We start from the raw sequence: 23,765 nt of genomic DNA on the forward strand, positions 1-23,765 counted from the left end.
TATCCAATGTTATATTTTTAAAATTTAACCATATTAATGCATGCAGACTTATGTCAATCATTTGCACAGCTACATAACATTATTCCGCTGCATGAGCAAGCCAGCTAATGGGAGTCAATTGTATTTTCTTAAGTTTCTCTGTTGCAAAGAATGCTCAGCGGCAATCCTTGTACATATTTCTTTGTGCATGTGTGTGAAAGTTTGTCAGGGACAGACATTCATAGGAATAATTTCTGTTTACCACAGTATGTATATCACATTTTGCTTTTTTACAATTCCTCCAGAAATGTATGAATGATTCATCTTTCCTGACATCTCACAAAATTTAGTTATTGTCTAACTAATGATTCAGAAATTTATCCCACTGTTACCTAAATTACATTCCCATGATTTTAAGGATATTTTAATATGTTTATTTTTCAATCCAGTTTCTATGCTTGTCCCTTTACTGTTCCATATAAATTTTTGGATCTGCTTGTCAAGTTCCACAAAAATCCTGTGAGTTGAAATTGCATTGAGTTTATAAATTAATTTTGGTTAAAATTGTCATGTTTATATTATTTATAGTTATTATCCATAAACATGCTATTGTATTTAAGACTTTTATATGTCTCTGAGTAATGTTTTACTATCTGCTCCACAAAGGTTGTTGTATTTCCTTTATTAGATTTATTATCAGAAAATATATAGTTTGTGTTACTATTGTAGTACATTTAAAGTTTAAATGTACATTCAAAAATAAAAAAGTACATTTAAAGTACATTTTTCTGTTTGCTGCTAAAATATAAAGTATACTCTTCATTTTGTGTACTGAGCTAATATCAAACAAAATTGCCAACCTCTTTCTTTTACTCACTGAAATTATTTTCGCAATACTATTTTCTAAAAAGAATGACAAGTTTTTCTTTATTTTTTTCTTTTTTCTTGCTTTTGCTCTTTATCTTCTATAACTCTCTTTTGCCTTAGTTTACTTGAAGATCTTCCAATGTGATATTGACTAGAAGCAGTGACTGTCTATATCCCCACCTTCTTCTGAATTATAAAGGAATGCGGCCGGGCGCGGTGGCTCACGCCTGTAATCCCAGCACTTTGGGAGGCCGAGGCGGGCGGATCACGAGGTCAGAAGATCGAGACCATCCCGGCTAAAACGGTGAAACCCCGTCTCTACTAAAAATACAAAAAATTAGCCGGGCGTGGTGGCGGGCGCCTGTAGTCCCAGCTACTTGGGAGGCTGAGGCAGGAGAATGGCGTGAACCCGGGAGGCGGAGCTTGCAGTGAGCCGAGATCGCGCCACTGCACTCCAGCCTGGGCGACAGAGCGAGACTCCGTCTCAAAAAAAAAAAAAAAAAAAAAAAAAAAAAAAAAAAAAAGGAATGCTTGTATTGTTTCAAAATTGAGTTTGGTATCTGCAGTGAGTTTTGACAGACAAAATTTATCAGACAAGGAAGTTCTCTTCTATTCCTAGTTTGCTAGTAGTTTTCTTAAGTTATAAATGTGTAACAAATTTTATCAAAACTGTTCTAATTCTATTGAAATATTGGTTTTTATCTTTTAATGTGTTATTGTGGTGAATCATACTAATAGCTTTTCCAAAGTTAATCATCCTTGCATTCCTGGGTTAAATGTATTTCTTAATATATTACTGATTTATCTTTTTGCTAAGATTTTTATTTATAATTTTTATCTAGTTTATAAGTAAAACCCTATAATATTTCTTCCTTCAATTGTCTTTATGTAGTTTTTATGTGAATGTTATATTTATAAAAAATTTCAAGAACTTCTCTTTCATCTTACTCCTCTTAAGATCTCTCCTCTTTTTCACATTTCTGCAATTCTTCTATGATGCCTATGTTGTAAATTAATTTCTTTTTCCTGCTTGTACTTTAGGAATCTGAGATTTTATATCTTCTGTTGACCCTGGAAAATTCTAAACCACTTAAAAAAGTATTGCCTCTCCTTTGTTCTTTCTGTTCTTTCCATTTGGAACTCAGCTTCAGTTCATGTTGGACATTCTAATTCTATCCCCAACTTCTCTTAATTTCTTTTTAGTAGTTTCCATGCTTTTATTCTCTGTTCCAAGTTCTAGATAATTTCCCTAAGTCTATTTTTAATTTAATAATTCTGCCTTTGGATTTTATGTATTTGATTATTTTAAGATATCAATTTTTCTTGCATAAGGTACAATAACAGTATTGCATCATTCAGTTTCCTGGTTTTGACCATTGTATTATGGTTATGTAAGTTGTGAACATTATGGGAAATGGGGTAAAAGATATGCATAAACTCCCTACATTATTTTTGTAATTTTTCTGGAAGTCAAAAATTATCTTAAAATAAAGAAATGCTGATTTTTTCAATTCTCCTTCAGATATTTTGTTCTGTTATCTCATACTCGTGAGCATAATGTTGCTATGTGTACTTTCTCACTTTGGCTAATTCTGCTCTTTTCTGCATTTCTTTTTTTTTACTGGAAGCTATATCTTCTCTTCCTCTTCTTTTCTAAATTTACTTAATATTTTAGTATATATAATTAATAAAATATAAAGTCATCCAATAGTTCTACTTTCCTTCCCTTGATAGAAGAACATCACACTATTTTATTATGATTCTTTCCTCCTATCTCATATGTGATTATTGTCTAGGATTTAACTCTCTCAAATTTCTCCAAATTGAATAGCATTATTATTTTGGAGAATCAATGTTGGTTTAGGTTTATTTGCTGTGTATTACTTTTTACATATAATTTCTTCTTTATTGTTTTAACATTTTCTTCATGAAGGCCATACTTTAGACATTCTTTCTGTCAAGGCTATTGATGGTAATGATTACTTCTGTTTGTCTGAAAATGTCTTTTATATTGCCTTCACTTCTGAAGGATGGTTTGGTTATAAAATCCCAAGTTGAATGTTGTTAATTTTCAGCAGATTAAGTTTTTATTCCACTGTCTTTTGATGTCTATTGTTACTATAAAGAATTATTTTCTCAGTTTATTTTCTCTAAATGCTATTATGATCTCTCCTTTGTCAATGGTGTTTGATTGCTTTTTTTTCTTGACATGTTGTAATTCTACATATTTGAGAAGTACTATTTGATGTTTTATACACATATGTTGTAAAATGATCAGTTTGGGATGTATAGCATGAGCATCACCTCATGAATTTATCCTTTTTTTGTGATGAGGACATTCAAAAGCTTCTCTTTTAGCTATTTCATAGTATAAAATATTTCACTGTTAGCCATCATCACCCTACTATACAATAGAACACCAGAAGTGATTCTTCCTATTTAATTATAACTTTATACCTTTTGACCAATCTCTTCCCGTCCGCCTTTCTCCTCTCTCTCCCTTCTCCCTGGTCTCTGGTAAACACTGTTCTACTCTCTGTTTCTGTGATATCAACTACTCTTCTTTTTTTTTTAAGATTCCACATATGATATTATGTGGTATTTGTTTTTCCTTCTGTGTCTGGCTTATTTCATTTAATGTTATGTCCTCCAGGACCATCCATGTTGTCACAAATGATAGGATTTCATTCTTTTTATGGCTGAATAATATTCCATTGTGAATATATATCATATATTTTTTATCCTTTTATTCATTATTGGACACTTAGCTGGATTCCACACCTTAGCTATTGTAAAAACTGCTGTAATAAACATGGGAATGCAGATATTTCTTTGACTTATTGATTTCATTTCCTTTGGCTATATACCCAGTAGTGGGATTGCTGGTTCATAAGGTAGTTATATTTTTAGCTTTTAAGGGAGCTTCCATACCATTTACATAGTGCTTTTACTAACGTACAATCCCACAAACAGTATGTAAGTGTTCCCTTTTCACAGATCATCATCACCAACAACCTTGTTCTTTTCTCTTTTTGATAATGGCCATTCTAACTGGATTGAGGTAGTATCTCATGTAGTTTTGATTTGCATTTCTCTCATGATTAGTGATGGTGAGCATTTTTTCATTTACCTGTTGGCTATTTGAATATCTTCTTTTCAGAAAGACCTATTAAGGTGTTTTGCCCATTTAAAAAATTGGGTTATTTGGTGGGTTTTGTTTTGTGTTGCTGTTAGTTGTTTAAGTTCCTGATATATTTTGATATTACCTCTTGTTGGATCTACAGTTTGGAAATATTTTCTCCCATTCCATAGGTTGTATCTTCACTCTGCTAATTGTTTCCTTTGTTGTGCAAAAGCTTTCTAGTTTGATGTAGTCTAATTTGTCTATTTTTGTTTACTGTGAATTGAGGTCTTATTTTAAAATCCTCAGCCAGCCCAACATTGTAAAACATTTTCCTTATATTTTCTTCTAGTAGTTTCATAGTTTTGGGTTTCACATTTAAGTATTTAATCCACTTTGAGCTGATTTTTGTTATATGGTGAGAGATAGGAGGCTATTTTCATTCTTTTGCATGTGGAAATCCAATTTTTCCAGCACCATTTCTTGACAGGATTGTCTTTTTCCATTTTGTGTTCTTGGCACCTATGTTGAAAATCAGTTGAATGTGAGTGCATGAATTTATTTATGGGATCTCTCTTTTGTTCCATTTGATTTGGAGTTAGGAGCTATCAGATCTCTCAAGTCACCTCCAGTTAGGAGAGAAGATTCTTCCTGTGTGTGCTAGGGTTCCAATGGCTGCCTTGTGATTTTTAACCCTTTGAATCAAAGGAACTTAAATTACTGAAAAATGATAAAAGAAAAGGAGAACAGTTTGAAATTTTAGGTTTTGCTAAAGTTTTTCAATATTATACCCTGTGACTCTTTAATAAATGAGGATGAAAGTCCATAAAAATAAAGTTTTTAAAAGAAAGCAATTTAGCAAAATTCAGATGCTTCTCTTCCACTTAAAGATAGTGTAATATATTGAAAAATTAAAACACTTGGGTTAAGGCCTTAACTTTTCCACATAAGCTGTGGAAAAGTTGGGCCTCTCAAACTTTGGGCCTCTCAAACTCTCTGATGATTTCCTTTTGTGTAAAATAGAAAGTATAACGTTCATCCCAGCCCTACCAATATACTTTTATTAAGATCAAATAAGATAAAGTGTAGCTTCATTAGAGGGATAAATAAAATTATTCCTTTCCTATCCAACTAAAAGTATTCTTTTAAGTAAATGAACTTTTAAAATACCTATTAGTGTATTTTCATTGTAAAGGCATAAAAATGCAAATAAATTATAAGTCCTTTTTGAGTCCTGCTTTCTGCCTCCTAGTCACCTCCAAAACTTTCAGAGAGAATTACTTGTTAGAATTACTTGTTAGTTTGCTCTAACTGCACTGTCCAATATGACATTCATGAGCTACGTATGGCTATTAAACGGAAATGTAAATTAATTATATTGAATAAAATTATTGTTTTTAGTTATACTAGCCATAGTTCAAATAATCAATACCCATATGGATGGCATTACTGTATTGGACAGAGAAGATATGGAATATATCTATCACTAGAGAAAGTTCTATTGAACAACGCTGCTCTTCAATCAAGTCCAGTAAGAGAGCTTGTGGTAGGCAGAATGACAACCCCCGATAATGTCTATGTCTTAGTACCCAGAACCTGAAAATACTACATTATATGTCAAAAAGGACTTTTCAGATATAATTAAGTAAAGGATCTTGAGATGAAAAATTGCCTTGGGTTATCTGAGTAGGCCCAGTGTAATAACTACAATTTCTAGAGGCAGAGGGCATAAGGGTCAGAGTCGGAAAAAAAGATATGTGAAAGTTGTTAGAGTAAATACTGTGTTTGAAAAAAAAAATCCCTGACAAATAGAGCTGGGGAAGGTCATGAAGGGAGAATTGTCATGCATAATTGCCTGATAACAATAACTAACTATCACAAAAGACTACAAAAACCATAGCCTTACACAAAGGCCATTGCAACCTTACACAAAAAATACTTCTGCAAGGACATCTGTCCAGCATCTGCCTGTCCAACCTCTGACTGGCACCATAGCCAAGGATAATTATCTCAAAACAATTATGTAAACCTCTTCATTTTTTCTTTAAAAACCTTTGTCTTTCTTTATCTCCCTAAATATGTGCATAGTTTACTATGGCCTGTGTATATTCCCAGTATGATGCCCTATTTCTGAATAAATATTGTTTTCTTTTAGAGAGCTCCCCTATTTATTATTTAGGTTGACATAAATGGTATCCAGAAGCAAGACCTGAAGCATAATCACTTTGGAAAGGAATTGGCAATTCTTGGATTTAGTGTACAATACTCACTTGAGCCCTCTGAGCTCTCTGCTTTCATGGCTTGCCATTTCTCTCCTGGTGAATCTTTCCTCAGGCTGAGCCTCCTTCTTTTTGGTAGAGGTGGTTTTTTGTTTTTGTTTGTTTTGTTTTTAACTATTTTGGGATTTGGTTTGGTTATAAGACAGTCTTTGATACAGGACTTTATATCCTTCCTGGGGTGATAAAAGATAAAAAGTCTCTTCTGGCAAGTCCTTTCTGGCATAAAGACAAGTGTTCCTCTAGTTTGAATACTCTGGTTTCTACAGAATATATGTCCTCTCTGTAACACATTCTTTTCTGGTTAATTTAGTTTTGCTCTTTTCTGCATGCTTAATTTAATATTTTGTTTGATCTACACACCTGGGTTAAAATTTTTGTGAGCACTCTGATTTTGGTTTTATTTTGATTTGTTTACATATATCTGTAAATAATTTGTCTCTTTTTCTTGTTTGTTTCTAAAAATCTTCCAAGAGCAAAGCTAAACATTACAAATGGTGGGTACAGAATGGCTAACTAAAAGCCACTAGGGAAATCACCATCATCTAAAACACTGGTGTAAACTCCTGACATTCTGTTACAGGATTTTGGGGTTTTCTTTGCTTTTGAGAGCTTAATAAGAACTTAAATGGACTTCTCAAACATTAAGGTTTACCAGGGTTTCTGGGACTCCAGCTGACTATAATATAGCCCATTCCTCATTATTATGCTCATTTTTAAACTGATGGGCAAATTACAACAAGAAAAATTTAGAGACCAGATGGTCATAACTTAAATCTCTTTTTAAAAATCCCTGCAGGCTGGGCTTGGTGGCTCACTCCTGTAATCCCAGCACTTTGGGAGCCCAAGGTGGGTGGATCACGAGGTCAGGAGATCAAGACCATCCTGGCTAACATGGTGAAACCCCATCTCTACTAAAAATACAAAAAATTAGCAGGGCATGGTGGCACGCACCTATAATCTCAGCTACTTGGGAGCCTGAGGCAGGATAATCACTTCAACCTGGGAGGCCGAGGTTGTAGTGACCCGAGATCACGCCACTGCACTCCAGCCTCGATGACAGAGCAAGACTCCGTCAGAAACAAAACAAAACAAAACAAAACAACAACAAAAAAACCCCTGCAAATATAGAGTTAACATGTAAAATCTTCTACATTCTCTGTTTCTCTATTTTTTCTTTCTACTTTGAATCTTTTGAATCTGCTGATACATCTTCAGGTGTCCAGATAAAATTCGCTGCTTTATGGCACTGCAGCCAAAATAGAAAAAAAAAAGTCTTAAAGGGCTTTTAATTGTGGCTTTATAATTTACAATAGCTCTATGGCAACTATCAACCTAGACATCTCAGTCATCTCTTTTAAGGTAAATTTAGGTTTTCCTGGCTAACAATTGCTTAGCGTGATGGAACAATTAATTGAAAGGTTAATATTTTAAAAGAAAAATAACTGGATAAATGTTTATAAAAGTTATAATTTCAGATCAAAGAGGTCAAAATTTTAAGTCCAGAGCGATAATATAAGGTATCTCTGTCTGGCATAAAAATTGCCTTGTGTGCCATGTAGGGGCATAAGAAAGGCATTAAAATGTGTTCTCTATTGAAAAAACTAATTTTATTTGTCTGATCTTATTACAAGGTTGTTTCAAAACATGGATTTAGAAAGGAAATAAAAAGAAAGGAACCAATAAGTAGAAGAGAGAGATGTGAAGATGTTATGAATATGAAGATGTATGTTTGGTAAGAAAAGTTAAACAGAAAAGAAATAATTTTGTATGAAAAAGAATCTAGTGTGGTTATTTAAGAGTAAGTATAGGACAAATCAGAATGTATAAGTATGTTGTTGAAGATCTATGCAGGCTGTAAAAGGTTCATTAAGAATGAATTTGTGAAAGGAATTTTATGTGTAATCAAATGGGCTACAATCAGAAGGAAACTATTTGTCTTTTAAAAGATCGATCATTAATCTTAAAAATACATGGATACAAAACTAAAAATTTGTTTCCCTAAAGTTACAACAATAAATTTTCCTTGAAGTATTGATATGTTCTTAGTAAAATTGTAAGAGGTTTTGATTTAATTTTGAAATTTGTTTCTTCAACAGCCGTCTTCTAAATTGTAGACATTTTTTATTTCTGCCACATTTCTCCCTGCGATCTGTTTATTCCCCCAGTTTCAGGTTGGAAATGCTGTCTTCTCCATTTGGAATGGTAACTTCATTTCTTGAAGTAGTTTTACTTTTGAAGTTTCTCAGATTCATATCTCAGAAGTTTGACTTTTGCCGTATCTTGCACATCATTTGCAGGTTGTACATCATTGCCTTCAGCTCTTTCTCCTTTTCAGAAGTTAAATCGTTTTGCTTGGCAGGATAATAACTCTCCCTTTGAACTTTCTCATCAGTTTTGTAACCCTTTCCTCTGGTTCTAACTCTGATGTCTTAACTGTCAATAAAATGTTCTGTCCTTAAGGCCTAGAAAAACAATGTTTTCCTCCAGTATAACTTGATTCTGTAGTCTTGACTTTTCTTGATGTGTCTGAATTGTTCTATGTAATGAGAACACTTCCCATGCTGTTACTAAAGCTATGTATTCTCCTGCTCAAGGTACTAGTTTTCTTGTTTATATTCCTCTTTAATGTGGTATACACTCATAACCTTGGACACACACTCTGTATGTGCCTGATTGAATCCAAGGACTTTTCAATCATGTTTGACTTACAGGTTATCTAAATGGGCTTTTCCTAAGAGAAAGCAATCACACTGCAGAAGGTTTGTTTTTTTTAACCTTTTTAATTGGCCTAAATAAAACTCAAAATATTTTATATTTATCAAGATATTTTCCTGTGTTATCTTTATTAGATTTTACTGATCATGTAGGAAAACTGAGATTTGAAAGGGTTAAGGCTATTACAGTCAAGTAGCTTTCTTTACATTTTCTGACTATCACTCTGGTTAAATAAATAACTATTATTTCACAGTGACCTGTCATTTTGTTTTTATCAGTGTTTTGAACATTGTGACATATTTGGCAGGCTTTCTTGGAATTAAGATTCTAAATTAGGTATTTTTGACCTAAAATTGACTTTGGGATCTTTCCAGTTGGGCCCTTCAAGGGCCTCAAAGGATGTATCTCTTATTTTGTAGAGATATTAAATGAGTAGGCTTATTTGGTAAATTACATGAGAAATACTTCAAATGACAGGTGCTACTGGATTTTCTTTCATTTATGTTTATGAATATGTTATTAATATGAATGTTTCAAAATTCAAATAGTTCCAAAATTATATTTTAGAAATCTAGTATGTCATCAGCCATAATTCCAGTTATTATGTTGCATGCCAAAAAAATGACCACATTTTCTTATCAATTTCTGGTTATGGTAAACTTCCATCAGATTTTTAACCATAATTATTCTAAGCTTTTGTAATCTATAGTTAATGTTTTGAATTTTTTCTAAAGAGACCTGCAACTGGATTCATGGAAAAGACTCTAACAACTACTGTTAAATACAGGTTTCAAAAAACTTTAAGATAAATGGACTAAATAAGAAGTTTCCAGAAGTCTCATAAAGAAACTGGGGGGCAGCCAAGATGGCCAAATAGGAACAGCTCCGGTCTACAGCTCCCAGCATGAGCCATGCAGAAGACGAGTGATTTCTGCATTTCCATCTTAGGTACCGGGTTCATCTCACTAGGGAGTGCCAGAGAGTGGGCGCAGGACAGTGGGTGCAGTGCACCGTGCGTGAGCTGAAGGAGGGCGAGGCATTGCCTCACTCGGGAAGCGCAAGGGGTCAGGGAGTTCCCTTTCCTAGTCAAACAAAGGGGTGACAGACAGCACCTGGAAAATTGGGTCACTCCCACCCTAATACTGCGCTTTTCCAACGGGCTTAAAAAACGGCACACCAGGGGATTATATCCCGCACCTGGCTCGGAGGGTCCTACACCCACGGAGTCTCGCTGATTGCTAGCACAGCAGTCTGGGATCAAACTGCAAGGCAGCAGCGAGGCTAGGGGAGGGGCGCCTGCCATTGCCCAGGCTTGCTTAGGTAATCAAAGCAGCCGGGAAGCTCCAACTGGGTGGAGCCCACCACAGCTCAAGGAGGCCTGCCTGCCTCTGTAGGCTCCACCTCTGGGGGCAGGGCACAGACAAACAAAAGACAGCAGTAACCTCTGCAGACTTAAATGTCCCTGTCTGACAGCTTTGAAGAGAGCAGTGGCTCTCCCAGCACACAGCTGGAGATCTAAGAACGGGCAGACTGCCTCCTCAAGTGGGTCCCTCACCCCTGACCCCCGAGCAGCCTAACTGGGAGGCACTCCCCAGTAGGGGCAGACTGACACCTCACACAGCCAGGTACTCCTCTGAGACAAAACTTCCAGAGGAACAATCAGACAGCAGCATTTGCGGTTCATGAAAATCTGCTGTTCTGCAGCCACAGCTGCTGATACCCAGGCAAACAGGGTCTGGAGTGGACCTCTAGCAAACTCCAACAGACCTGCAGCTGAGGGTCCTGTCTGTTAGAAAGAAAACTAACAAACAGAAAGGACATCCACACCAAAAACCCATCTGTACATCACCATCATCAAAGACCAAAAGTAGATAAAACCACAAAAGTGGGGAAAAAACAGAGCAGAAAAACTGGAAACTCTAAAAAGCAGAGCGCCTCTCCTCCTCCAAAGGAACGCAGTTCCTCACCAGCAATGGAACAAAGCTGGATGGAGAATGACTTTGATGAGTTGAGAGAAGAAGGCTTCAGATGATCAAACTATTCCGAGCTACAGGAGGAAATTCAAACCAAAGGCAAAGAAGTTGAAAACTTTGAAGAAAATTTAGACGAATGTATAACTAGAATAACCAATACAGAGAAGGCCTTAAAGGAGCTGATGGAGCTGAAAGCCAAGGCTCGAGAACTACGTGAAGAATGCAGAAGCCTCAGGAGCTGATGCAATCAACTGGAAGAAAGGGTATCAGCGATGGAAGATGAAATGAATGAAATGAAGCGAGAAGGGAAGTTTAAAGAAAAAAGAATAAAAAGAAATGAACAAAGCCTCCAAGAAATATGGGACCATGTGAAAAGACCAAATCTACGTCTGATTGCTGTATCTGAAAGTGACAGGGAGAATGGAACCAAGTTGGAAAACACTCTGCAGGATATTATCCAGGAGAACTTCCTCAATCTAGCAAGGCAGGCCAAAATTCAGATTCAGGAAATACAGAGAACGCCACAAAGATACTCCTCGAGAAGAGCAACTCCAAGACACATAATTGTCAGATTCACCAAAGTTGAAATGAAGGAAAATATGTTAAGGGCAGCCAGAGAGAAAGGTCAGGTTACCCACAAAGGGAAGCCCACCAGACTAACAGCTGATCTCTCGGCAGAAACTCTGCAAGCCAGAAGAGAGTGGGGGCCAATATTCAACATTCTTAAAGAAAAGAATTTTCAACCCAGAATTTCATATCCAGCCAAACTAAGCTTCATAAGTGAAGGAGAAATAAAATACTTTACAGACAAGCAAATGCTGAGAGATTTTGTCACCACCAGGCCTGCCCTAAAAGAGCTCCTGAAGGAAGCACTAAACATGGAAAGGAACAACCGGTACCAGCCGCTGCAAAATCATGCCAAAATGTAAAGACCATGGAGGCTAGGAAGAAACTGCATCAACTAATGAGCAAAATAACCAGCTAACATCATAATGACAGGATCAAATTCACACATAAAAATATTAACTTTAAATGTAAATGGACTAAATGCTCCAATTAAAAGACACAGACTGGCAAATTGGATAAAGAGTCAAGACCCATCAGTGTGCTGTATTCAGGAAACCCATCTCACATGCAGAGACACACATAGGCTCAAAATAAAAGGATGGAGGAAGATCTACCAAGCCAATGGAAAACAAAAAAAGGCAGGGGTTGCAATCCTAGTCTCTGATAAAAGAGACTTTAAACCAACAAAGGTCAAAAGAGACAAAGAAGGCCATTACATAATGGTAAAGGGATCAATTCAACAAGAAGAGCTAACTATCCTAAATATATATGCACCCAACACAGGAGCACCCGGATTCATAAAGCAAGTCCTGAGTGACCTACAAAGAGACTTAGACTCCCACACATTAATAATGGGAGACTTTAACACCCCACTGTCAACATTAGACAGATCAATGAGACAGAAAGTTAACAAGGATACCCAGGAATTGAACTCAGCTCTGCACCAAGCGGACCTAATAGACATCTACAGAACTCTCCACCCCAAATCAACAGAATATACATTTTTTTCAGCACCACACCACACCTATTCCAAAATTGACCACATACTTGGAAGTAAAGCTCTCCTCAGCAAATGTAAAATTACAGAAATTATAACAAACTGTCTCTCAGACCACAGTGCAATCAAACTAGGACTCAGGATTAAGAATCTCACTCAAAACCACTCAACTACATGGAAACTGAACAACCTGCTCCTGAATGACTACTGGGTACATAACAAAATGAAGGCAGAAATAAAGATGTTCTTTGAAACCAATGAGAACAAAGACACACCATACCAGAATCTCTGGGACACATTCAAAGCAGTGTGTAGAGGGAAATTTATAGCACTAAATGCCCACAAGAGAAAGCAGAAAAGATCCAAAATTGACACCCTAACATCACAATTAAAAGAACTAGAAAAGCAAGAGCAAACACATTCAAAAGCTAGCAGAAGGCAAGAAATAACTAAAATCAGAGCAGAACTGAAGAAAATAGAGACACAAAAAACCCTTCAAAAAATTAATGAATCCAGGAGCTGGTTTTTTGAAAGGATCAACAAAATTGATAGACCGCTAGGAAGCTAATAAAGAAAAAAAGAGAGAAGAATCAAATAGACGCAATAAAAAATGATAAAGGGGATATCACCACCGATCCCACAGAAATACAAACTACCATCAGAGAATACTACAAACACCTCTACGCAAATAAACTAGAAAATCTAGAAGAAATGGATAAATTCCTTGACACATACACCCTCCCAAGATTAAACCAGGAAGAAGTTGAATCTCTGAATAGACCAATAACAGGCTCTGAAATTGTGGCAATAATCAATAGCTTACCAACCAAAAAGAGTCCAGGACCAGATGGATTCATAGCCGAATTCTACCAGAGGTACAAGGAGGAACTGGTACCATTCCTTGTGAAACTATTCCAATCAATAGAAAAAGAGGGAATCCTCCCTAACTCATTTTATGAGGCCAGCATCATCCTGATACCAAAGCTGGGCAGAGACAGAACCAAAAAAGAGAATTTTGGACCAATATCCTTGATGAACATTGATGCAAAATTCCTCAATAAAATACTGGCAAACCAAATCCAGCAGCACATCAAAAAGCTTATCCACCATGATCAAGTGGGCTTCATCCCTGGAATGCAAGGCTGGTACAATATACGCAAATCAATAAATGTAATCCAGCATATAAACAGAACCAAAGACAAAAACCACATCTCAATAGATGCAGAAAAGGCCTTTGACAAAATTCAACAACTCTTCATGCTAAAAACTCTCAATAAATTAGGTATTGATGGGACGTATCTCAAAATAATAAGAGCTATCTATGACAAACCCACAGCCAATATCATACTGAATGGGCAAAAGCTGGAAGCATTCCCTTTGAAAACTGGCACAAGACAGGGATGCCCTCTCTCACCACTCCTATTCGACATAGTGTTGGAAGTTCTGGCCAGGGCAATTAGGCAGGAGAAGGAAATAAAGGGTATTCAATTAGGAAAAGAGGAAGTCAAATTGTCCCCGTTTGCAGATGACATGATTGTATATCTAGAAAACCCCATTGTCTCAGCCCAAAATCTCCTTAAGCTGATAAGCAACTTCAGCAGTCTCAGGATACAAAATCAATGTACAAAAATCACAAGCATTCTTATACACCAATAACAGACAAACAGAGAGCCAAATCATGAGTGAACTCCCATTCACAATTGCTTCAAAGAGAATAAAATACCTAGGAATCCACCTTACAAGGGACGTGAAGGACCTCTTCAAGGAGAACTACAAACCACTGCTCAATGAAATAAAAGAGGACACAAACAAATGGAAGAACATTCCATGTTCATGGGTAGAAAGAATCAATATCGTGAAAATGGCCATACTGCCCAAGGTAATTTGTAGATTCAATGCCATCCCCATCAAGCTACCAATGACTTTCTTCACAGAATTGGAAAAAACTACTTTGAAGTTCATATGGAACCAAAAAAGAGCCCGCATCGCCAAGTCAATCCTAAGCCAAAAGAACAAAGCTGGAGGCATCACGCTACCTGACTTCAAACTATACTACAAGGCTACAGTAACCAAAACAGCATGGTACTGGTACCAAAACAGAGATATAGATCAATGGAACCGAACAGAGCCCTCAGAAATAACGCCGCATATCTACAACTATCTGATCTTTGACAAACCTGAGAAAAACAAGCAATGGGGAAAGGATTCCCTATTTAATAAATGGTGCTGGGAAAACTGGCTAGGCATATATAGAAAGCTGAAGCTGGATCCCTGCCTTACACCTTATACAAAAACTAATTCAAGATGGATTAAAGACTTAAACATTAGACCTAAAACCATAAAAACCCTAGAAGAAAATCTAGGCATTACCATTCAGGACATAGGCACGGGCAAGGGCTTCATGTCTAAAACACCAAAAGCAATGGCAACAAAAGCCAAAATTGACAAATGGGATCTAATTAAACTAAAGAGCTTCTGCACAGCAAAAGAAACTACCATCAGAGTGAACAGGCAACCTACAAAATGGGAGAAAATTTTCGTAACCTACTCATCTGACAAAGGGCTAATATCCAGAATCTACAATGAACTCAAACAAATTTACAAGAAAAAAACAACCCCATGAAAAAGTGGGCAAAGGACATGAACAGACACTTCTCAAAAGAAGACATTTATGCAGCCAAAAAACACATGAAAAAATGCTCATCATCACTGGCCATCAGAGAAATGCAAATCAAAACCACAGTGAGATACCATCTCACACCAGTTAGAATGGCAATCATTAAAAAGTCAGGAAACAACAGGTCCTGGAGAGGATGTGGAGAAATAGGAACACTTTTACACTGTTGGTGGGACTGTAAACTAGTTCAACCATTGTGGAAGTCAGTGTGGTGATTCCTCAGGGATCTAGAACTAGAAATACCATTTGACCCAGCCATCCCATTACTGGGTATATACCCAAAGGACTATAAATCATGCTGCTATAAAGACACATGCACACGTTTGTTTATTGCGGCACTACTCACAATAGCAAAGACTTGGAACCAACCCAAATGTGCAACAGTGATAGACTGGATTAAGAAAATGAGGCACATATACACCATGGAATACTATGCAGCCATAAAAAATGATGAGTTCATGTCCCTTGTAGGGACATGGATGAAATTGGAAATCATCATTCTCAGTAAACTATCACAAGGACAAAAAAACAAACACCGCATGTTCTCACTCATAGGTGGGAATTGAACAATCAGAACACATGGACACAGGAAGGGGAACATCACACTATGGGGACTGTTGTGGGGTGGAGGGAGGGGGGAGGGATAGCATTTGGAGATATACCTAATGCTAAAAGACGAGTTAATGGGTGCAGCACACCAGCATGGCACATGTATACATATGTAACTAACCTGCACATTGTGCACATGTACCCTAAAACTTAAAGTACAATAATAATAAAATAAAAAAAAAAGAAACTGATTGGCTCATGAAACTGCTAAAAAAAGATCAAACATTCATTACATCAACTTGAATAACTGATAAAAATAATAATAATTTTTATTTGAAGCATTGCTTGTTATTTACTTAAATATCTTTTCCAGATTTAAGAAAATTTTGTATCTAGAGTAATTTATACAGCAATTTGGTAAAGAATACTTCTGTGAATAAAGGTGGAGACATTTGCTTTTCCTTTCTACTTGGTTCCCCCCAAATTTTGAAACCACTGGTGAGTATTCTTATGGCACTATAGTTACTTGTATAAGTTCAATAAAAAATCTGCTCTCTCTTTATAACAAGATATGATTGGAAATGTTGGTTATGTTACCAAGGTTTTTACTAAAGCGTCATATTTGAGAATATGCATAGAATACCTCATTTCAAGGGTTCCTAGGCTTACAGTGAATGAATAAAAACTGTCACTTTTTGGCAGGTCCAGAGATTGTAGACCACGAGTTAAATCTAAAGTCTACCTTGGTTTGGCTTCCTATCCCAAAGAGGTTTTAAAATCTGATTCCTATGTTATCAATATGGAAAGAAAAACTTACATTTCTAAAGAAAAGCTATACTACATCTGTTATTAGATTGTAGCTTTGCACATTGCTTTCAAGTTCTTGTTATCTACCTGTAGACTAGACTAGATCCTAAATTCTTCTAGTTTCCTCCAATCCAATTTTCTTCCATAGAATTATTTAAAAGAGAAACTACTCTCTTCTTGAAGCCCTATAAGCTGAAAGTAGATGAATTTTAAGGAACAAGTCTCATGCCTAATGCATGGGTTACACAGAAAGTTTACCCTACTACCTGACACTATAGCCAGAGATATTCAAACTACAAAGAAACACAAGAACTTTATATTTTCATGCTCTAGACAGCTTTTCCAAGATGATGGAAAATGGCTCCATATCATAATGAGACTTTAATTCCTTTTAATGCCTAGTTTTTTCACTTGGAAGACAACGGTCATTGATTTATTTAAACTGGTTGCCTTTAAGCCTAGGTTTGTGGCTCAATACCATTACGCAAACTGAGACTGTCATATTAATACTAATTTACCTGGTATTTCCCCCTTTTAAGCTGTGTATCTGTTACTTGTTAAATTTGTGCAGCAATACAAGTACTAACAGAATAAAGCTGATCCAGCACTTTGAGATGATAGCAAAAGACTATGGAACAGACAAAAATTGAACTTAATAATGGACCACAGGCTTAGCTGGAGAGCCACTCTCTTTAAACCTTTCTATTGTTCAAATCTGGCTAAATGGATTTTGAAACTGACTTTTAGTAGCCATTCACTCCCTCCAATGTGGGACCAGACCTATTGGTATCTTATACCCAAGATAAGTCCATCCTGGCACCATGGGACAATCAAAACCGAACTACAGGATGATTTATCAGCAGTGCTTTTAGACAAAGGTCTTGATTAACATTGGGAAATATAAAAGTTGTTGACATCAAAATGGACTCATTCATATTTTTAAAAAATGACATATTGCGCTGGGATGGTGGCTCATACCTGTAATCCTAGTGACTTGGGAAGCTGAGATAGGAGGATCGCTTGAGGCCAGGAGTTCAAGGCCAGCCTAGGCAACATAGTGATACTCTGTCATTAAAAAAATATTAAAAATTGGCTGGGCATGGTGGTGAATGCCTGGAGTCCCAGCTACTTAGGAGGCTGAGGTTGGAGGATCACTTGAACCCAGGAGTTTGAAGCTACAGTGAGCTATGATTGTGCCACTGCACTTCAGCCTGTGTTGACAGAATGTGACACCATCTCAAAGCAAGCAAACAAACAAACAAACAAGAAAAACACCTGACAAATAGAGCTGGGGAAGGTCATGAAGTGGAGTGGGAGAGTCATAAATGCCTTATAACAAAAACTATCACAAAAGGGTCTGCAAAAACCATAACTTTGCACAAAGGCCATTGCAATCTTACAGAAAAAATACTTCTGCAAGGACATCTGCCCAGCATCTGCCTGTCCAACCTCAGACTGGCACCATAGCCAAGGTTCATTGTCTCAAAACAAGTAATCCTCTTCATGTTTTCTTTTAAAGCCCTTGTCTTTCTTGGCCAGGGACGGTGGCTCACACCTGTAATCCTAGCACTTTGGGAGGCTGAGGGGGGCAGATCACTTGAGGCCAGGAGTTCGAGACCAGCCAGGGCAACATGGCAAAACCCTGTGTCACATAAAAATACAAAAATTAGGCCTGGTGGTATGTGCTTGCAGTCCCAGCTATTTGGGAGGTGGAGGCAGGATAATTGAGAATTGCTTCAACCTGGGAGGCAGAGGTTACAGTAAGCCATGATGGTGCCACTGCACTCCAGCCTGGGCAACAAAGCAAGACTCTCTCTCAAAAACTAAAACCAAAACCAAAACAAACGCCTTTGTCTTTCTTTACTTCTCTCAGTACACACAAATTTTACTATGGCATGCATACTCCCATTACAATGCCCTGTTCCTGAATAAATATTATTTTTAAGAGAACGTCTCTCTCTTTGTTATGTAGATTGACAATGTGATGATGGAAACAAAGTTAGAGTGATGTGTTTTTAAGAGGGAGGAAGGAACCATGGGCCAGTGAATGCAGGTTCCCTCTAGAGGTTGGAAAAGGCAAGGAAACAGTCTTCCCTAGAGTCCGCAGACAGAATGCCACACACTAACACCTTGGTTTTAAGACTTTTGATCTTCAGAACTGTAAGATAAGAAATTTCCATTGTTTTAAGCCATAAGTTTGTGATAATTTGTTACATTAGCAAAAGAAAACGAATACATATGACAACATGTATCTCTATTACTCTCTTAATAAATGTTATTTGTCTCCAATTCTATTATAAATAAAGCTACAATAAAATTTTTCTCTGTGCAGAAGCAAACATTAGATGGCAAAAAGTGTTACAGAGAAAAATGAACCACAGAGAGAGGGTTAGGGATTTAAGCCATTAGAGATATGTGTAATTTATTTTGGTAATTCATTAATAACTTGCTTTTCAGAAATAACAACCACAACAATAATAATATCTGAATTTTGGCGTTTGCCAAATTCCATGCTGTAAGTACACATACCATCACCAGTTTCTAGCTACCAACATAATACTACTGAACACAGAGCTGGGATGAGATCAGATTCTGCGCATGACTGGGTATGTATATGTATGTGTGTACATGAGCTTCTAGGCATATATATAGTTACATGTGTTTCTATGGTAAACAGAAGGTTTGTCTGATACTTGTCAGAGCAAAAACCTGAAAGAGGTGATGAAGCCACCTATGCAGATAAATGGGAAAAAAACATTCTTTTTTTCTTTTTTCATTTGAGACAAAATCTCACTCTGTTGCCCAGGCTGGAGTGTAGTGGTGCCATCTCAGTTCAGTGCAAGCTCTGCCTCCCGGGTTCAAGCAATTCTCTTGCCTCAGCCTCCCAAGTAGCTGGGATTACAGGTGTACGCCACCACACCCAGCTAATTTTTGTATTTTTAGTAGAGACAGGGTTTCACCATGTTGGCCAGGATGGTCTTGAACTCCTCACTGCAAGTGATCCGCCCACCTTGGCCTCCCAAAGTGCTGGATTACCGGCCTAAGCCACCCCGCCTGGCCAAAAAGCATTCTTAACAGAGGGAATAGTTAGTGCAAACACCTGATGGGTGTGTGAGTGTGTTGTGTTGCATGTACTTGAGGTCTGTCTGAAATATATTATCTTAGTCTGTTTGGGGTGATATAACAGAAATAACATAGATTGGGGGCTTATTGTCTAAGTTAATTTTCTCTTGCTATTACAGAATACTTAAAACTGGGTAATCTATAAGAAATGAACTTTATTTTTTTCAATTCTGGAGGCCAGGAAGTTAAAGGTGAAGGGGCTGCATCTGGTGAGGGCCTTCTTGCCAGTGGGGGCTTTCTGTAAATTCCTGAGATGGTGCATGGTATCACATGGTGAGGAGGCTGAGCATGCTAATGTGTTAGCTCAGGACCCTCTTCCTCATCTTATAAAGCCACAGTTCCCGTTCCCCTCCCATGATATCCCATTAATCCATTAACCCGTGGAGGGACTAAATATTCATAAGGACATAACCCTTGAGACCCAATCACCTCCTAAAGGTCTCACCTCTCAATACTGCCACATTGTGGATTAAGTTTCAGCGTGAGTTTTAAAGGGAACATTCAAACTATAGCACTTATAAACAACAGAAATTTGTTTTTCACAATTCTGAAGGATGGAAAGTCGGAGATCATGGTGCCAGCAAAGTCAGGTTCTGGTGAGGGCCCTCTTTCGGGGCCCATAGATGGTGTGCCTTCTAGCTATGTTCCCACCTGGTGGAAAAGGGAATGCAGCTCTCTGGGACCTCTTTTATAAGGACATTAATCCCATTTATGGGGACTCTGCACTCATGACATAATCATCTTCCAAAGCCCTTATCTCTTAATATCAGCACATTATGATTAGATTTCAACATATGAATTTTGGGGGGACAAAAACATCTGGACCATTGAAGATATTAAGGAGACTAACACGGTGGAGAGTGAGTTGCTCCATTGTAGAAGGTAAGTAAGTTAATTATGTATTTGTAAGTGCATGTGCATTTGTAGGGGGGCAGGTAAGGCCTCAGGTCATTATAGGGACTTTGTTTTTTGATTTTAAAGGAGAGAGGAAACAACTAGTGAGTCCTGAAATGACATAATCTGAATTAAATTTAGCTCTTCTGTTGAGAAAGAATAGAAACAGATTGAGACACTCTCAGGAGGATGTTGCAATAAGCCATGTGAATGATCGTGTCCAGGCCAAGTGTAGTAGCAGTGGAAGTGGTGAGATGTGATCAGATACTGCAAGGAGAACTGACAGGATTTGCTGAAAGATTGAATATGGGGTGAGATAAAGAGAGGCGCTAAGGCCGATTCCAAGATTTTGGCTTAAGTAATTGGAAGGTTGGAAGTGCTAGCACATAAGATAGGTAAGAGACTGGGAGAAACATGTTTGGGGAGCAAGGGCAGATCAAGCCCTAATTTTTGACATGGTGTTAGGATGACTTTTAGAATTCTAATCCATCAGAGAAATGGATATACATGCCTGAAGTTTAGGGGAGAATCAGCTGGAGATGTAAATTTGGTATTTAAAACCTTTATACTGGAGAAGATCACATGGGGTATGAATGTAGATAGAGGAGAAATCTCAGGATGTGGTTGTGGGGTACTCTAAAATTTAGAGATCAAAAAGAAAAGGAAGAACCAGAAAAGGAGACTGAGGTGCTATCAAGTACAAAGAAAAACAAAAGAGAATCATATCCAATTAAATATGTTGTTTTATGGAAGGAAAAATCATGAAACTCAACAAATACTTCTGGTTTGATGAATAAACTGAAGCCTGAAAATTGGCCATAGGATTTGCAACTATGATGCTATTGGTCACGTTGGCCAAAACAATTTTGGTGAAGAGATAGCTAGAAAAGTCTGATTGTACTGGATTTAACAGAGAATAAGCGAAGAGTATTTGGAGACACTGAATTTAGCCAACGGTTTCTAGTTTTGTTTTGTTCTGTAGAAGGACAACAGCAAAAGGTAGGATTAAGAGAGGGTTTTCAAAAGCCTGGAGATATTATAAGCTGTGTGGGTGCTGATGGAAAAAAATTGGCAAAGAAGGAAAATTCATGAAGCAGAGGAGCAAGGAGAATTGCTACAGAAATGTCCTTAAGAAAGGGGAAAGGGCTTGATCTCGGGCACAAGTGGAGTAGTTGGCATCTCATCCATGGGAGCAGGTGGAGACTGATGGATAGATGGGGTGGTGAAAGCATACAGAAAGTCTCCATGGATTTTTTTAAATTTTATTTTGTTGTTGAAGCAATGTCATCACTGGAGATTGAGAATGGGGTAGGTAAGAAATAGAAGGCATGACATAGCTATGTAAGAGAATGAGTAAATGAATGAATGGCTTTAGGAAATATCAAAGGATTGTAGCAGTACTTAGAGCCCACATGAGTGGTCATGAATTTGAATTGAGATCAGACATATACCTGTGAGTGTTGTTTTCTTATGCCAATATTAATACACAGATACAAGTGTTGAATAGATTGAGATTTTAACTTAAGCAGAGTTGGAATATTGCCAGGTTAGTGTGAGGATAAAAGAGAATGGCTATAAAGTTGTGGAGAAATACAGGGCAGTATTATGATGATCGATGCATAATGGACTACAGGAGGGAAGATAAGGCATAGAGTGGGGTGGCAGAGCTGGGGGGTGTGGTGAGAGGAACTGAAAAAGATAGGACAGTAGTCCCAGTAGCATCGAAGAATTGTTGGAGGGAGTAAATTCAAAAGATAGAAGATACGGTTGAAGAGAGACAACTAAATTGAAAGTGGCAGATCAAACCGAAGGTAAAGGTATTTAGTAATGACACCGCCTAGGGTATGACCACATGCATGAATAACTCAAGGGTGTAGAAGATGACTGGCAGAGAGGAGGTCTCAGAAATGGGAGGCCAGATAGTAGAAGGATCACTTGTGTGCGTGAGATCACAATAACATAATATTGAAATCTCAATAGAGATAGTATTAGAGATAATTATAATTAAAATCACAGCGGATCTCAAAGATTGGTCTGCAGACTAGCAAATGCCAATGTCCCTGACTTGTTAGAATTGCAAATTTTGAGTATCTCCTAGATCTAGTGAATGAGAAACTGGGAGCTGGGCCCTGCGAACAGTAGTTTAACAAGTCCCCCAGGTGATTTTGATGCACATTAAGGTTTGATAACTATTAATACTTCTATAATAGCACAGATAATAGAGAAATTAACAGCTTGAAGAAATAACAAAAAGTTCAGTGAGTTAGCATGAAACTATACCTGAAAGTTATTGCAAGGTTAAGTGAGAGGAACCTTAAAATTAAAGGGAGCAGCATTTGTAAAGAAAAGCTAGAATCATGAAAAGACCTAAGATAAGATCAAATGAAATTACGTAGAAGTGTAAAATTCTTAACTGTTAGTATCTGAAAATCATGCATTCCTTGCTAGGAAGGCATGGCATTAGTGCTGTCGGAATCCTGATAAAACATCACAAACTTCTGTTCGTTGGTATTAGGGACAGTATAGAGTGAGTGCTTGAAGAACTGCCTTGGCTTACCAATCTCTCTCTCCACAACTTCCAATCATCTCTAGGGAACCTAGCAGAAACACTTCCACAGAGCAAAAGTTATAATACAGAAAGTGATGAAAGGAGGACGCAGGCTCTCAATGACGTCAGGTATTCCCGGGACCCGCCCACCGTGGGCGTTTTCCACCTACAGGCAGGCGTCTCCGGGGGCGGGGCTTGCTCAGGGTTAACGTCACTACTGAGCGCCGGGCGCGTTCCGTTGGCGGCGGATTCGAACGTTCGGACTGAGGTTTTTCTGCCTGAAGAAGCGTCATACGGACCGGATTGTTTTCGCTGGCCCAGTGTCCCCGGAGCTTGTGTGCGATACAGAGAGCACCTCGGAAGCTGAGGCAGCTGGTACTTGACAGAGAGGATGGCGCTGTCGACCATAGTCTCCCAGAGGAAGCAGATAAAGCGGAAGGCTCCCCGTGGCTTTCTAAAGCGAGTCTTCAAGCGAAAGAAGCCTCAACTTCGTCTGGAGAAAAGTGGTGACTTATTGGTGAGATTCCATCCCTTCTCGGGCTGGGAATGGGGCACGGGAGAGGTAAGGGCAATAACCTTAAGCCTTTGTTTTTCCGCCCCGAGCCAATTTATAGCTCTTTCAGGCCCCTGTTTAAGGCAGTTCCAACAATGACAGGGAACGTATGCCCC

At 37.7% G+C, this 23,765-nt stretch overlaps 1 protein-coding gene across 5 annotated transcripts in view, besides 2 other annotated features; it reads left to right on the forward strand.

Moving 5' to 3' along the window:
* Positions 23,219 to 23,488: an enhancer, noted in NCBI's record as "active region_25035". NCBI's record gives its function as "activates an Ori minimal core promoter by ATAC-STARR-seq in GM12878 lymphoblastoid cells {active_cell/tissue: GM12878}" and the evidence as "EXISTENCE:reporter gene assay evidence [ECO:0000049][PMID:35858748]".
* Positions 23,329 to 23,765, forward strand: part of CENPW (centromere protein W) — a 143,206-nt gene continuing 142,769 nt past the window's right edge. For 4 of the 5 annotated variants that reach the window (NR_104462.2, NM_001012507.4, NM_001286525.2 and 1 more), the window contains exon 1: positions 23,329 to 23,613. Coding sequence is in view for 4 of the 5 variants with exons in the window: in NM_001012507.4 (NP_001012525.1) it covers positions 23,488 to 23,613 (126 nt within the window). In the remaining variant the exon portion in view is untranslated. Of the gene's footprint in view, positions 23,659 to 23,765 lie in introns of all 5 variants that reach the window. The other variant, NM_001286524.2, reaches the window with a different exon arrangement.
* Positions 23,499 to 23,548: an enhancer, noted in NCBI's record as "active region_25036". NCBI's record gives its function as "activates an Ori minimal core promoter by ATAC-STARR-seq in GM12878 lymphoblastoid cells {active_cell/tissue: GM12878}" and the evidence as "EXISTENCE:reporter gene assay evidence [ECO:0000049][PMID:35858748]".

Source organism: Homo sapiens, chromosome 6 (genome assembly GCF_000001405.40).
Source record: "Homo sapiens chromosome 6, GRCh38.p14 Primary Assembly".
In the NCBI taxonomy this organism is placed as follows: domain Eukaryota; kingdom Metazoa; phylum Chordata; class Mammalia; order Primates; family Hominidae; genus Homo; species Homo sapiens.